We start from the raw sequence: 16,522 nt of genomic DNA, 5'->3' as shown, positions 1-16,522 counted from the left end.
ATCATAAAGGTGATCTAGAAATGTCTGAGGTCTGGATGACATAATACTACAGCAACGTGCAGCTTCATTCTCAGTTACTCCCAGGAAATTAGGGCCACATAGCGCTGCAGAAAGAACAAGTAAGACTCTTAGACCTGGGCTTTAGCCCCAGATGTGTCCATTCCTAGGACCCCAGACATCTTTGTGACCTCCTTGCTGGGAGGAAATCCAACCTTCCCAGACATTTAAGAACACTAAGAAGACCCTGAATACACCGAGGGATTTCTTTGTCATAGAGACAACAAACCAGGTTCGGGGACCCCAGGGACTCTCTGTGTGGTGTTGACAGACCCAAGGCCAAGACACAGCAGAGATCAGTGCTGGGGAGGGTGATTTGTCCTGTTAAGGGACAGGGGTCCAAATAAACCTTGCTTCTCAAAGCATAGTCTGGGGAATGTAAATGAAGACAGAACGGAAAAAAGAAGAATGGACAAGAAGGCAGGACTGAGAGGGGAGGGGGCAGAGAGGCTTCCTGGGCAGAGCCCACCCCCACCCATGACCCTGGGAAGTGCTCCTGCCCTGGGAGGAGGCTCAGCACACAGGGAGGAAGGACAGCAGAGCTGACAGTCACAGCAGCCCTGACAAGAGCGTTCCTGGAGCTCAAGCTCTTCCCTCAGCCCTCCCTGCAGAGGGCGCATCCCCTGGCAGGGGTTCCTTCTCACAGGTGAGGGGAGGACTCCTTGGGAGTGGGTGGGAGGAGGGAGCACAGAGACTGACTGGGATCTCCTGGGGAGGATGGGACTCTGAGGGGGGACAGAGGGCTTCTGTTGGAGCCTCAGAGGAGAGGACACCAGAGAGGGACAGGGGTCACACCAGGAAAATCTCAATGATCTGAAGCTGTTAATGGAGAAACAATCTCCACTGTTAATATACTGCAAGTGAATCATCACTGATCAATAAATTCTGAAAACTGATGACAATAAAATGTTATGTCAGGGTAACACTCCAGAAAAAAACAGAACCAGGGCCACTAAACACTGTCCTTACCCACAAACCTCAGGCCATGGAGGGCCCTGGGAACACTCATGAACTCATCCACAGGAGTCTGCAGCCTGTCCCAGACACTGGGGTGCAACCAAGATCACAAAAGTCCCCACCCTCACGGAGCTCACGCTCTCATGGGAGGAAGACAGACACCCAAAGAGATCTAGAATGTGAGGTCAGGTGCTGACAAGAGCCCTGGAGGGAACAGAGCTGGGAAAGGTCAGAAAGAGAAGAGAAGAGCAAGGGTCTCTAGAGGAGGTGTCAGGGGAAGGGTCTCCCAAGGATGTCCTGATGTGAGCAGGATCTGAGGGCGATAAGGGGTGGGGGTTTGTGCAGACTCCTGGGGAAGAGGATTCCAAACTTGGAAGTGCCAAGGTCAGAGGTGCTGAGGGAATGGGGGTCATGCTGCTGACTTTGACTCAGCAGGACCCATGCATGCACGTGCACGTGCACGTGCTCTCTCTCTCTCTCTCTCTCCAGGGCTAGGGGGTGAAGAGACCTCCTCAGAACTCAGGGCCCCATCTTTCCATCCAAATACATAGGTCCCAATATTGACTGATGTTCTCTCCCCCACCTTAGCCTCAGTTTTAACTTTCTGGAACCCACCCACTACTGCCATGCTCACTGTTGAAGCCATGCTGTCCAATGCCACAAAGGGGAAGGAGGTTCTTCTACTCACTCACAATCTGCCCCATGATCTTATTGGCTATAACTGGTACAAAGGGGAAAGGGTGGAGGCCAACCACCATATTACAGGATATGTAATAGGAACTCTAATAACTACCCCCAGGGCCTGCCCACAGCATTCAAGGGACAATATACCCCAATGCATCCCTGCTGATTCAGAATGTCACCCAGGACACAGGATTCTACACCCTACACGCCATAAAGATAAACCCTGAGAAAGAAGAAGTATCTGGCCAGTTCCATGTATACTGAGTGATTCTCCCACAGCCTCTGACTGTTGGGGGTCAGTTCTACTTCACATACATGGGATTGTCAGGCCTGGGCTGTGCCTGTGTCCCCTTCTGTATTACGTCCCATGTTGGGGTTTGAACATTTACTGCAGGACACATACAGGGTAGACAAACTTCAACAGATCAGAATTCCTTTCCCGTATCCAGACCCTGCAGGCATTCACTGCTGAGGAAAGACAGTCTGATGGGGGGGACTCAGCAGGGGGAGGTCAGTCTCAGCCAAGCACCCCATGCCCTCCCTATGGACATGACCTTGAGAAGACCCTGGAGAACTAAGTCAGGGTCTGGACTGAGGGGTCTGTGGAATCCTGTGGAGCCCTGAGGAGCCTATGCCAGAGCTGGATTGTTGCCTCCTGGGCTGACCGGGAGCCACAATTTACCAGCTGTCCAAGGGCAGTGGCTCCTGGAGCTGGTCACTAGCCAGGGCTCAGCCCCCAGGCCCTCATCTGGGCAAAGACAGAGCCTCAACATTCACCTGAGACTCAGCATGTAGAGCACAGATGGACAAGATTACTAGGGCATGAGCCCATTGCCCTGGGGGACTTAGGTGACTCCCTTGTAAGTTCAGGGTCCCTAGGGGGAGGAACAAATAGAGGATGCTCCCAGCAGCTCCTTCTCCACCTGAAATCAGGCCCAGGGCCCTTTCTCTTACAGGCAAATAAGCATATGTAAAAAGTAAAGTAGAGGTTCCTCTTCAAAGACTTTCCTCCCTGTCTAATTAGGAATAAATAGCAACCTCTCTTAGAAGCAAAATTTACTCAAAGACGTGTGCTAACATTCTTAAATATCTGCTAGCTGTAATAAAAAAAAAAAAAAAAAAATGTATTTTATGTTCTTAGCTCCCACAATTTAGCCTAAATATTTGCCCTGGCATGCTTATACTGGTCCAAGCAAGCATTAGGTCATAGCCTGCTCCTCTTCTTTATTTGAAGATGGTTTTTACCTTTCTCAGCATTCCACAAGTTACTTCCTCCTTCCTTTGTTCTCCTCTGCCTTTGCCTCTTTTAAAAAGTTCTAAGTTGCTAGCCAATCGGGACAAATACAAAATGTGACATCCTGTTCCAGCCAGTGGAAACCGGACACAGCAGTAAGGTAGACACGTCAGATTATAAATGACCCTGTCTCCTTTGTTCGGTGTACTCTTGTCACAAAATTGCTGGCGAGTATACCCTTTCTACAGAAAATATAAAAATGGCCTTGCTGAGAAAATTAAATTTATGTTCAAGTGCTATTTCTTTACAGCACTGGGGAACAAGCATTTCAAATACATACATGCTGTTCATCTGGGCAGCTGCTCTGTGCAGAGCTGAGATCAAGTAATTGTAAACATTTTGAGGTTAATTCATAAACAACCTTGTAGCCAAATAGCATTTATCTTATTTATTGAAAGGAAAATGAGGCACAGGGAGACAGTCACTGACTAGGGTCACACTGATATGGCTCTGATGACTGGAGCAATACCAGGATCCTCGGTCTTGTGCCAATTTAGATAAAACAACACAGACACATGTGGAGCAAAGAGTTTAATAGGCAAAAAAGAAGGAAAAAGCTCCCCCATACAGGGACAGACGGAGGGGGGTTCCAAGCAAAGAGAGGAAACCCTAAGTGCAGCAGAAAACAGCCAGTTATATGAGGAGGCCGGAGGACGTGGTGTCTGATTTGCACAGGGCTCAGGGGATTGGTTTGACCAGCCATGTCATTCACGTAGCCCAAGAAGAAACTGGCCCTCCACCCTGGCCTTTTAATATGCAAATGCAGGGAGCCTTGATGGTTCTACACACGTGGGGATATGTGAGGGCAACCGTGTTGCCAGGCACATATGGGAGCAAGGGCAAGAAGAGGGCAGGAATCCCCATGTTTGGGTGGACCCAGTTTCTAATGGCCTTCATTTGTATATCAAAGCTTGCCAGCCAGGCTCTAAGAGCTGGGGCTTTTCTGCTAGACAAGCAACATTTCTGGAACTGCTTTAAAAGAAACAAAAACTGGCCAAGCAGTGGCTCATGCCTGTAATCCCAGCACTTTGGGAGGCTGAGGTGGGTGGATCACCTGAGGTCAGGAGTTGGAGGCCAGCCTGGGCAACATGGTGAAACTCCATCTCTACTAAACACACAAAAATTAGCCGGGCATGGTGGTGCGTGCCTGTAATCCCAGCTACTGGGGAGGCTGAGGCAGGAGAATCACTTGAACCTGGGAGGCGGAGGTTGCAGTGAGCCGAGACCATGCCACTGCACTCCAGCCTGGGCAACAGAGCAAGACTCCGTCTCAAAAAAAGAAAAAGAAAAACTTCCCAAGGACCCCCTTTCCTCTCTATCTCCCTAAAATAATTTCCTAATAACTCCTATAACAACACAGTCCATAGGTGGCAGATTAGAGTCATGCGAGGTCTGTCTGCAGCCACAGCCCCCTCCTCTCCTCCACTGGGGTTGTGTGAGGCTGCTTGTTATTAGGCATCTGCAGACCTGAGACCAGTCATGGGTTCATCTCCCTTCATCTTGGGCATCCACAGTGCAGAGGGGGAGATTCTGATCTGAGGAGTGAGGAACAATAGGAGAATTCACCAGTTTTTATCTGGAACTAAATCCCTTGTGTCAACTATCAGGGTCAGTGTTACGCACGTCCGTGTGAAGAGACCACCAAACAGGCTTTGTGTGAGCAACGAGGCTGTTTATTCACTTGGGTGCAAGTGGGCTGAATCTGAAAAAGGAGTCAGCAAAGGGAGATGGGGGTGGGACAGTTTTACAGGATTTGGGTAGGTAGTGGAAAATTACAGTTAAAGGTAGTTATCTCTTGTGGGCAGGGGGCGGGTCACAAGGTGCACGGTGGAGAGATCATGAGATTCATTGTCCGGGGGGGAATGTCACAAGGTCAATTGATTAGTTAGGGTGCGGCAGGAACAAATCACAACGGTGGACTGTCATCAGTTAAGGCAGGAATTGGCTGTTTCACTTCTTTTGTGGTTCTTCAGTTGCTCCAGGCCATCTGGATGTATACGTGCAGGTCACAGGTTATGATGGCTTAGCGTGGGCTCAGAGGCCTGACAGTCAGTGCCGGGAATATACCAGGTGTTTGACCTTGGGCAAGACACTCAACCTCCTAGGCCTCAGTTTCCTCATCTGTAGAATTTTAACAAACACTTGGATCTCAGGATGGTTGTGAGGATGTTTATTTGAAGATTAATGTAATTAAAGCCCTTAACAGGGTAGTGCACAGAGCCAGGGCTCAATCAGTGCTATCAACTAGTATTATTATTTTTATGAGCTTTGTTATTAGCTAAGTCAAGGAGACCTTGGTTAAAATTTGGTTGTATCATGTACAAGTTCTGTGACCTTCCTTGACTTACTGAGGCACTGTAAGTCTCAGATTCTAACTCTGCAGATGGGAGTGAAGCCCCCCTCCCTCAAGGTGATAGGAGGATGAGATGAGCTGTAGGTAGGTTGGTGCCCACTGTGCCTGGCACATGGAAGACCCCCGAAAACAGTCAAAGAGCATCATCCCCGCTCATCAGCATTGAGTTGACAGCGAGGGCTAGCTCTGTATGACAATCATGGAATGGAAAAGAAGAAACAGAGGGAAGACTGGGTGCTGTGGCTCACGCCTGTAATCCCAGCACTTTGGGAGGCTGAGGCAGATGGATCACCTGAGGTCAGGAGTTTGAGACCAGCCTGGCCAACATGGTGAAACTCCGTCTCTACTAAAAATACAAAAATTAGCCTGGCATGATGGCACATTCCTGTAATCCCAGTTACGAGGGAGGCTGAGACAGGAGAACCATCTGAACTCGGGAGATGGAGGTTGCAGTGAGCTGAGATCGTGCCACTCTACTCCAGCCTGGACGAGACTCCATCTAAAAAAACAAAAGAAGAAAAGGCCAGGTGCGGTGGCTCACACCTGTAATCTTAGCACTTTAGGAGGCCGAGGTGGGTGGATCAAGAGGTCAAGAGATCGAGACCATCCTGGCCAACATGGTGAAACCCCGTCTCTGCTTAAAATACAAAAAATTAGCTGGGGGTGGTGGTGAACGCCTGTGATCCCAGTTACTCAGAAGGCTGAGGCAGAAGAATCGCTTTAACCTGGGAAGTGGAGGTTGCAGTGAGCCGAGATCACACAACTGCACTCCAGTCTGGCGATAGAGCGAGACTCCGTTTCAAAAAACAAAAAATAGAAAAGAAAAAAGCGGTAAGAGGCATGAAGTGAGAGGAAGAAGGGATTTAAAGGCACAGGAGCAGGGCGAGGTGCAGGCTCCTGGGGGAGAACGTAGGAGTCGGCGCATCCCAGTGTTTCAAGCCTGAGACACAGAAAATGGTGCAGCCACAGAGAGCGAGGGAGTCAGCTATGAGGACAGCACAACAGACCACACTCAAACTCCGTGGCATTTCCTTCCTCCCTGAACAAGCCCCTGCCCTGCAAGGCCCCTCATGGTTCCCCCTGGAACAGACTTGGGCTTCATCCCCTTTGCCTTCCCCTTTCTGCAGAAAAAAATGCCCCAGGCCTTCCTGTGGGGGCCTTCACTGGCATCGTGACCAGGGTTCTGGTCGGGGTGGCACCGGTGGCCACCCTGGCATGTTTCCTGCTCCTCGTCAGGACTGGAAGGTACTACAGCTTTTTCCTGGCCTCCCTCCCACCCCCAGGCTGACCCCAGGCCAGGAGGAAGAAGACCCCCCCCAGTATTCAGGGCCAGGCTCTTTGAGCCCTCCCCAAGAGATCCTTCCCTCTCATTCTACAGCTCCTCCCTCACCAGCTGCTGACCCTGGGCTGCCTCCTCAACAGCTTCCTCCTCTGTGAATTCGGCCTGGTTAAGGTCTCACCCCTGAGTGTGGTCCTAGTTCCCTCACACAGCAAAGCCACAGCTGCCTGGAGGAAGGGAGCGGGGGAGGGAGTGCTCAGTAACCCCGGTACCTCCTGCTGTTTATTGAATCCATCCACCAAGTGAGGGGGGATTTGCAGGCTCAGGATCTGAGAGGGAGTCCTGGGCATGGTCACACGGTGAAGGATGTAACAGCTTGGACAGGCTGGGTAGGGTCAGTGCCCCCATGGCTAATGCAGTTCCCGCAGCCCCTGAGCTGTGAGACAAGAGAACCTGGGTGCCAGGATGGCATGTCCTGGAATGTCCTTTATGTCTCTTGCCAAGGGGTAGAGAGAGAAGACAAGGCTGTTGTCCCATTTCAGCATCACTGGCCCTGAGAGCAGGGTCTGGCCACAGCAGGGACACTGAGTTCTGGGAGAATCCAAGACACCTTTGGTCCCCTCAGTGTCCTGCACATGTGCCTGGCCCTGCTTTCCCTCTGGGGACTTAACCCTTCCTCTCAGGCAAACCCCCATGATCTGGTTCCTTCCCTGGGCCCTCAGTTCCTTTCCTGCATCCCTGGGTCAATGTTCTCCTGGCCCAGCATCTGGCTGAGGGTCCTTCCCCTCTGGCCAGGACAGATGTGCCTTTGTAAAGTCTTTGATCCCCTCACCTGGCTCAGCTCCTGATACAGAACCAATGGAGAAAGGAGATCTCCATGCCCCTCTTTGGAAATAGGGTCCCCTCTTCATCCCCTGTTCTAACTCCAGAGTTTGGCTTTTAATCTTGTACTCCTCACAAATAAGCCTGACCTCTCCTAGGGCCAGTGGCCAGCATGACTTTAGAGAGCAGCTCCCCAGTGTCCCTTCAGCCTGGGTGTGGCTGGCAACCCCTAGGCCTGGCCCACAGTGTCCACTCCTGCCAGTCACCCCTGAGGTCCTCTGATCCTTTCCATGGGGCTTCAAGGAGGAGTCTCATAAAACGTCATTGCAGGGGACCCCAACTGGCCAGGTCAGCCCTGACCTGTGGGCTCTTGGTCATGGGTCACCTCTGCAAACTCACTTGCTCACTTGGCCCCTAAAATGGCTAGAGGGGTCTCTCCTGGTAAGATGCCCTGTCTCCCTGACTCTCTGGGAGTTCAGGACCCCAATGCCCTCCTCCATGAGAGGCCCAGGCTCTCCTCCCACCCAGCTGCTGACTCCTGTCTGTGTCCCCCAGGCCATGGTCCCTCAAACAACTCCACCTACCCTGTAAGCCCATCCCCTCCCCAGCCCCTTTCTACTGGGGTCCCAGCAGTACAGGTTCAGGGCAGGGGGACCATCAACCCCACAGCATAGCACAAACCCACCTTTCCCCAGAACAGTCAGGTCAAAGTGAGTGCCTCCGGCCAGGATCCAGGCCTCCCTACATGGCCAGGACCACCCATGCCCTGTGCTGACCCCACCCCGGGGCCCTCCGTCACCTGAGGAGACCCCTGGAGTGCAGCAGGTGCAGAGTGGACACTGGAAGAATCAGTCAGGGGCCCACATTAACAAGGGTGCAGGGTGGGCCCAGCCAGGACAGGGGTCGGGGTGCTGTGTCCACACTGGGAGGCTGAGCTCAAGGGCAGAGCTGGTCACTCCTGAGGGGAAATGACCATAAGTAGACCCAGGGAAGTAAGTTCTGGCCGATCAGAGACAGGAACCTTCCATGTCTCTCCCTCTCTGTCCCCTGACATCCCCTCTCTCCCCTGCCCAGGCCCCGCTACCCGACCCCAGGACAGCCGCTCCCATCTATGAGGTGAGTGTGGGTCACAGGTGTTCTGGTCCCGCAGGCTCCAGGGGGACCCAGGATCTGCCCCCACCCACACCTGGCTGAGCTCTGAGATTCAGGAAACTGCAAACACAACAGGGGGTGGTGAGCAGATGAGGAAGGGGCCTGGGAACAGGAACCCCCTGAGCACAGCCAGGTTCAGCATCAGAGCAGCCCTGGATGGGCCCAGAGCCTGGGAGACACCAGACTCTGTTCTCAGAAAGCCACAGGGGTCAAGGCCTCTTCTCTTTTTTTTTTTTTTTTTTTTTTTTTGCAGGAATTGCTAAACCATGACACAAACATTTACTGCTGGGTCAACCACAAAGCAGATGTGGTTTCTTAGGTTCCTCTGGGAGCTGCTCCTGTGGGTTGTTGGAGCGTCCCCGAAGCTCCCAGCCCTGGGGATGGGGAAGGACATGGAGCCTGAGCCAGAGAACCAGCTCTGAGTCCTGAGGAGACACTGGCCTGGGGACAGGGAGGGATGGGAGTCCCTGCTGAATATATGGAGACCTCAACAGACTGCCCTGGGCTCTGGGTGGGTCAGGACAAAGGCTTCCCATCACCACAGGAAGTGGGGGCTTGCAGGGAAAGTGAATGGGCCTGTGGCCCACCCGGGGTCACCTGGAAAGGATCTGAATAAAGGGGAACCTTCCTCTCATTGGCTCTTTTTCTGCTCGTGAGAACTTAGCAGAAACTCACCTGAAACTCCACGTCCATTCTCTCCCAGCTCACACAGGGAAAATATCTCCACCTTTTCTCAACCCCAGTCTCTCTTTCCTGGGAGACAGGAGTAGGGGGTTGGGAGTCAGGCTGGGGTGGACCCTACACAGGAAAGGGCAGGATTCACAGGAGCCCTGCCCAGCCAGCCAAGCACTCAGCTGTCTTCCCACTACCCCAGGGACCAAGGCCATGCACTGCCCCAGCCTGGGTTCCTCTGTGAATGCATGTGGGGTCTCAGGAGCGTGGAAGATGGGGCCATCTGATGTCCACACAAAGGTGAGCAATGCAGGAGCATACATGGGTGGTATAGATCGTGGCTGTGACCCCCACACAGCCTCCAGTGTCCTGAGCCCTCCTGCCCTCTTCACCCAGGCCCTGGCGGCCCTGTCTATCACTGTCCTCCACAAGTGAGTTTGCCTGTCCCCAAATCCAGGATCCTGGATGCTTAGCCCTGGCCACCAGGTTCTCCTCTGTCCCAGTGGCCACTGCTCAGGACATTTTTACCCCTGGTGGGACACAGAGAGGGGCTGTCAGAGTAATCAAGGTGGGGACAGACCAAAAATTCAGTCCTCGAGCAAGGTCCTCCAAGGCATTACCCAGGACTCTAGCCCCTCATTTCCCATCAGTTCCCAATTTACCCCCTGGCGTGGATCTCATTGAGCAAGCCTCCTTTCCACACAGGAGCATCCAGGTCAGAGGAGCAGGGCTCCCCAACCTAAAGCTCATGCAGGCTCCCATGGTGACAGGACAACCTGTCTGCTCCTCTACCTGGCCCCTCCAGCCCTGCCTCACCTGCAGCTCCTCCACACACCTGGGCCAGCGGTTCTCAGCCCTTCCCTGAGGGCCCCTGGAAGGGTGACAATCTCATGTAGGTTCACTTGGACCGGGCAGCACCTTCCGACAAACAAGCCAGTCCCTGCACTAAAGCACAGAGCCATGGTTCCCAAGGGTGTTCTGCCACTGCCACAGGCTGTTCATCATGAGATGAGAGGTAAGAAAACAACTGGTAATGGGTTGATTTACCTCAGGATTTGCATCAGGATTTAACTCTAAATGACCCCTTATCCCACCTGCACACACCGTCAGATGAGGAAAGGTGACACCTTTTTAGTTTCTTGTTGATGCTATGACAAATTACCACAAGCTGAGTGACATAAAAACATGAACCAAGGCGCCCTCATGGCTGTGTGCTTTCTGGAAGCTCCAGGTCAGAGTCCGCTTCTTCTCCTTTTCCACCTCCTAGAGGGTGCCTACATCTTTGGTTGTGTCCTTTTTCTCCATCTTCAGAGACAGCAGTGCAGCATCTTGAAACCACTCTGTCCTCTGCTTCTGTCTCCACATCTCCACCCACACCTGCCTCCCTCTCTTACTTATAAGAAAGGGGCCTTGTGGTTATTTTGGACACATCTTGGATAAACCACAATAATCTCCCTGTATTAGTCCATTTTCATGCTGCTGCTAAAGACACACCTGAGACTGGGCAATTTACAAAAGAAATAGGTTTAATGGACTTACAGTTCCACATGGCTGGGGAGGCCTCACAATCATGGCAGAAGGTGGAGGACCAAGTCATGTCTTACATGGATGGCAGCAGGCAAAAAGAGAGAGCTTGTTCAGGGAAGCTCCCCCTTATAAAACCATCAGATCTCATAAGACCCACTCACCATCACAAGAACAGCATGGGAAAGACCTGCCCCCATGATTCAATTACCTCCCACAACATGTGGTAATTCAAAATGAGATTTGGGTGGGGACAGAGCCAAACCATATTATTCCACCCTGGCCCCTCCCAAATCTCATGTCCTCACATTTCAAAACCAATCATGCCTTCCAAACAGTCCCCCAAAGTCTTAACTCATTTCAGCATTAACTCAAAAGTCCACAGCCCAAAGTCTCATCCGAGACAAGGCAAGTCCCTTCTGCCTATGAACCTGCAAAATCAAAAGCAAGTTAGTTACTTCCTAGATACAAGGGGGGCACACACATTAGGTAAATACAGCCATTCCAAATGGGAGAAATTGGCCAAAACGAATGGGCCATAGGCTCCATGCTAGTCTGAAATCCAGTGGGGCAGTCAAATCTTAAAGCTCCAAAATGATCTCCTTTGATTCCATGTCTCACATCCAGGTCATGCTGATGCAAGAGGGGGGTTCCTATGGTCTTGGGCAGCTCCGCCCCTGTGGCTTTGCAAGATACAGCCTCCCTCCTGGCTACTTTCATGGGCTGGCATTGAGTGTCTGCAGCTTTTCCAGGCACATGGTACAAGCTGTCAGTGGATATACCATTCTGGGATCTGGAGGACGGTGGCCCTCTTCTCGCAGTGCCACTAGGTGGTGCCCCAGTAGGGACTCTGTGTGGGGGCTCCAACCCCACATTTCTCTTCTGCACTGCCCTAGAAGAGGTTCTCCATGAGGGCCCTGCCCCTGCAGCAAACTCCTGTCTGAGCATCCAGGCGTTTCCATACCTCTTCTGAAATCTAGGCGGAGGTTCTGAAACCCCAATTCTTGACTTCTGTGCACCCATAGGCTCAACACCACATGCAAGCTGCCAAGGCTTGGGGCGTGCGCCCTCTGAAGTCATGGCCCAAGCTCTATGTTGGCCCCTTTCAGCCACAGCTAGAGCAGATGGGATGCAGGGCACCAAGTCTCTACACTGCACACAACACAGAGACCTTGGGCCCAACCCATGAAACTTTTTCCTCCTAAGCCTCTGGGCCTGTGATGGGAGGGGCTGCTGTGAAGAACTCTGACGTGCCCTGAAGATATTTTCCCCATTGTCTTGGGGATTAACATTTGGCTCCTCATTACTTATGCAAATTTCTGCAGCCAGCTTGAATTTCTCCTCAGAAAATGGGATTTTCTTTTCTACTGCATTGTCAGGCTGCAAATTTTCCAAATGTTTATGCTCCACTTCCCTTATAAAACTGAATGCCTTTAACAGCACCCAAGTCATTTCTTGAATGCTTCACTGCTTAGAAATTTCTTCCACCAGAAGGCTGGGTGTGGTGGCTCATGCCTGTAATCCCAACACTTTGGGTGGCCGAGGTGGCCAGATCACCTAAGGTTAGGAGTTCAAGACCAGCCTGACCAACATGGAGAAACCCCATCTCTACTAAAAATACAAAATTAGCCAGGTGTGGTGGTGCATGCCTGTAATCCCAGCTACTCGGGAGGCTGAGGCAGGAGAATCACTTGAACCCAGGAGGCGGAGGTTGCAGTGAGCCAAGATCGTACCATTGCATGCCAGCCTAGGCAATAAGAGTGAAACTCTGTCTCAAAAAAAAAAAAAAAAAAAGAAAAAGAAATTTCTTCCCCCAGATACCCTAAATCATCTCTTACAAGCTCAAAGTTCCACAAATCTCTAGGGCTGGGGCAAAATGCCACCAGTCTCTTTGCTAAAACAAAACAAGAGTCACCTTTGCTCCAGTTCCTAACAAGTTCCTCACTTCCATCTGAGACCACCTCAGTCTGGACTTTATTGTCCATATTGCTATCGGCATTTTGGGCAAAGCTATTCAACAAGTCTCTAGGAGGTTCCAAACTTTCCCATATTTTCCTGTCTTTTTCTGACCCCTCCAAACTGTTCCAACCCCTGCCTGTTACCCAGTTCCAAAGTTGCTTCCACATTTTGGGGTATCTTTTCAGCAGCACCCCACTCTATTGGTACCAATTTACTATATTAGTCTGTTTTCATGCTGCTGATAAAGACATACCTGAGACTGGGCAATTTACAAAAGAAAGAGGTTTAATGGACTTACAGTTCCACATGGCTGGGGAGGCCTCAAAATCATGGCAGAAGGGAAGGAGGAGCAAGTCATGTCTTACATGGATGGCAGCAGGCAAAAAGAGAGTTTGTACAGGGAAACTCCCCCTTATAAACCTATCAGATCTTCTGAGACCCACTCACTATCACAAGAACAGCATGGGAAAGACTTGCCCCCATGATTCAATTACCTCCCGCCAGGCCCCTCCCACAATACATAGGAATTCAAGATGAGATTTGGGTGGGGACACAGCCAAGCCTTATCACTCCCCATCTCATGATCTTTCCTTTAATCTGTAAAGTGTCTTTTACCATGAGACTTATTCACAGATATGGGGATGAGGATGAGCACATCTTTGAGAGGTTCTTGTTCTGCCCATCACTCCTCTCAAGGCCATTTTCTCATCATCATTCACTACAAACTATACATGGGTACCTGGATGAGGTCATCCTGACTGTAGTGATGTCCCCAGCACCCTCCAGGTCCTGAGAGAGAGAGACAGAGGGCTCTCCATGCCCCTAGTACCTCTCTATCTTTTCCTTGGTGACATGCTCAGTTGTTAAGAATAAATGAAAGCAGAAGTAACTGGGAGATCACAACTCATTAGCTCTTCAACAGTTCATGGACATCAGCACCCTGGACAGTGACTCAGTGCCCGCCCCCCCCCCCCCCCCATTCCCAGGCATCACAGCAGGCAGCACATGGATGGAAAGAGACTGCGGGAAAAGCTGCCTGTATTAGTCCGTTCCGAAGCTGCTATAAAGAACTGCTGGAGACTGGGTAATCTAAAAAGGAAATAGGTTTAATTGACTCACCTTCAGCATGGCTGGGAAGGCCTCAGGAAACTTACAGTCATGGCAGAAGGGGAAGCAAACATGTCCTTCAAATGGCAGCATCAATGAGAAGAATGAGAGCCAACCAAAGGGGGAGGCTCTTTATAAAACCATCAGATCTCATGAGAACTTACTATCATTAGACTAGCATGGGGGAACGACTCCCATGATTCAATTACCTCTCACCAGGTCCCTCCCACAACATGTAGGGATTACGGGAATTACAATTCAAGATGAGATTTGGGTGGGGACACAGCCAAACCATATCACTGCCCATTCTATTCCACATGAGAAAGATGCAATGAGGGAGAAACATTTGTTGCAGGTGCCTGGACGTTAGGGTTGTAGGCACATCTGTTGCCACTCCCTGCAGGGCTGAGTGCTGCACCCAGGGTGTGGTCTCTGGGAGGCTGAGTGCCTGCTCCTGCCTCATGATGCATCTTTCTGCCCCTGACACTCAGGCCACTGTCTCTGCCTACAAAAGGTGGGAATTTTTCATGATTAATTTTTTACCCTCTTGCCTGACCCTGGAACCACACACATCACCCTGCCTGGAGCACACCCTGAGCACAGCATCCTGCTCCTCCAGCCCCAGCTGAGCCCCTGGGAAGCGGAGCTGACCCAAGCCCCTGGGCTCCTCTACCAGCTCCTCCAAGCCAAGCCTTATCACCCCCATCTTGCTCATTCCTGCTTACATCACACCCACAGAGAAGACTCTGGCCCTACAGACCATCCCTGCCCTTCAGGGACTCAGGTCCAGCCAATCCAGTGTCCCTTCTGGGCACACACAGCACTCAGAATCCCCAGTGTAAGGGTCACCTGTGGGCTCAGGGGTTGGGGGATCCTGTAACTTGCATGAGTCAGAGCCCTCCTCACATCCCACATCTGAGCAGTCACCAGGGTCCTCTCTGCCCTGTCCTCATATCCAATGTCTCGATGACTCACTCAATGTCCTGGGTCACCCTTGTCATCTCTCCTGGACACAGCCACAGCTCCTGACAGGAAGAGTTGAGGTTCAGTCTCTCCAGGAATCCCTCCCACTCTGACCACTTGAACCTGCTCATTCTCATCTGACCCTCCCCTCACCAGGGGTCTTGTGCTCTCGATCCCTGGATACCTGGGTCCTTGTCAGGCAAACATCATAACAATAACAACCACCTGAACCCTGAAACTGTCACCCAAGGCACATGTCTGATGACAGTCACCAGGTGAGACACCTGTGGCTTCACATACCTGAGGCTTCACTGTAAAGAGGCTTCCTCATCCCTTTCCTTTCATCCCTAGGGTCAGTAAGCACCACAGGCTGCCTCGGACCACCAGCCCCTTCCCCCAGACACAGCATCAGATCTATACTGACCCTCTATATGGAGAGGCTTTGGGGAACAGCAGACACTAGGAAATCCCACTGACCCAGGTGTCACCCACAGCCCCACCCCTCCTCATATCAATGGCAGGGACAGACACGTAACACACCTCTGCTCACCGCCCAGCCCCCAAGATCAATCACAGTCTGCTTCTCCCTTCACCCACTACTCCCCACATCTTCCCTCCCCAGCTGCAGCCTGGATGGCCTCCCTGCTGTTCTTGGTCCATGAAGGCAGGTTCCAACCTCTGTATCATTCCCTTCTCTTCCCTCCCCTTCCCTCTCCTCCCCTCCCCTCCCCTCCCCTCTCCATCCCTTCCCAGGAGCCCACATCAGCCTGTCCACCTGCCTTACAGCCAAAGCCATCAGCCACTTGCTCCCTTCCACCCTCCCCAACCCTGTACATGGAGGTGACGGCCCCTCCTGGAACACCCACCACTCACTGTCAGCCTTCAGTGGTAATCACAGGTTCTACAGGGGTCACCTGTGGAACCAGAACTCTTGGAAGGACGAGCAGAGGGAGCTGCTCAGGACATCTTGGGGCTCCTGGCATCTGGTCCACCACATGGACATAATCAATAGCACTTAGTGAAAGGGTAAGTGGTGGATGACTAAGTGTAAGTGAAGACGGTGTGTGGGCAGAGGTAGGCACAAGAACACGGGCACTTTCTACTTCAATCATTATTCCAAGAAAGGTGGGGATACTGGAGATGGACATTTTCATATATTCCTGATGGGACTGCAGTACTTACAACAACAACTTTGGCCCATGATTTTTTAGGTCTTGTGGAGGTTTTTGAGATGGAGTCTCGCTCTGTTGCCTAGGCAGGAGTACAGTGGCATGATCATAGCTCACTGCAGCCTTCAACTCCTAGCTTCAAGCAACCTCCTGCCTTGGCCTCCCAAAGCTCTGGAATTGCAGGTTTGAACTCAGCCATCACACCCAGCCCTGGCCTCATTGTGTTCAGTGTGCATACGCTTTGACCACTATCCCACTTCTGAGAGTCCCACTGAGCGGTGAGCTCTGAGAAGGCAGGACTGTGCCTGCCCTGTCTCTGTTAAAGCCCTTGACCTGCCCACAGCCTGGCCAGGGTACTTTATAAGAGCTGAATGAATGAGTTCCTGGATTAATACTCCACGTGGGGAAAAGATATGTGTATGAGGATAGTCACTGCAGAATGTCTTGTCAACATGAAGAGTGGGACACAGCGTCAAATCCAATAGGCGAGTGGATAAAGCATCACAGTGTAGCCATGCAATAAAATAAAT

General features: G+C 51.6%; 1 long non-coding RNA gene and 1 pseudogene across 2 annotated transcripts in view, besides 3 other annotated features; one reads left to right on the top strand and one right to left on the bottom strand.

The window, feature by feature from the left end:
• The window catches only part of LIPE-AS1 (LIPE antisense RNA 1), a 255,208-nt gene that overhangs the window by 89,960 nt on the left and 148,726 nt on the right, over window positions 1-16,522 (bottom strand). The gene's annotated exons all lie outside the window — the stretch shown is intronic.
• On the top strand, window positions 1,601-1,959 carry CEACAMP2 (CEA cell adhesion molecule pseudogene 2; annotated as a pseudogene).
• Window positions 1,917-2,417: an enhancer, noted in NCBI's record as "H3K4me1 hESC enhancer chr19:43064131-43064631 (GRCh37/hg19 assembly coordinates)". NCBI's record gives its function as "activates a minimal SCP1, AML or CMV promoter by ChIP-STARR-seq in primed H9 embryonic stem cells {active_cell/tissue: H9 hESC(primed)}" and the evidence as "EXISTENCE:reporter gene assay evidence [ECO:0000049][PMID:30033119]".
• Window positions 8,752-8,952: a silencer, noted in NCBI's record as "peak3493 fragment used in MPRA reporter construct". NCBI's record gives its function as "represses an SCP1 promoter by STARR-seq MPRAs in K562 erythroleukemia cells {active_cell/tissue: K562}" and the evidence as "EXISTENCE:reporter gene assay evidence [ECO:0000049][PMID:32103011]".
• Window positions 13,592-13,792: a silencer, noted in NCBI's record as "peak3492 fragment used in MPRA reporter construct". NCBI's record gives its function as "represses an SCP1 promoter by STARR-seq MPRAs in K562 erythroleukemia cells {active_cell/tissue: K562}" and the evidence as "EXISTENCE:reporter gene assay evidence [ECO:0000049][PMID:32103011]".

Source organism: Homo sapiens, chromosome 19 (genome assembly GCF_000001405.40).
Source record: "Homo sapiens chromosome 19, GRCh38.p14 Primary Assembly".
In the NCBI taxonomy this organism is placed as follows: Eukaryota; Metazoa; Chordata; class Mammalia; order Primates; family Hominidae; genus Homo; species Homo sapiens.
Note: the sequence above shows the minus strand (reverse complement) of the source record. Positions and strands in the feature narration are given on the sequence as shown.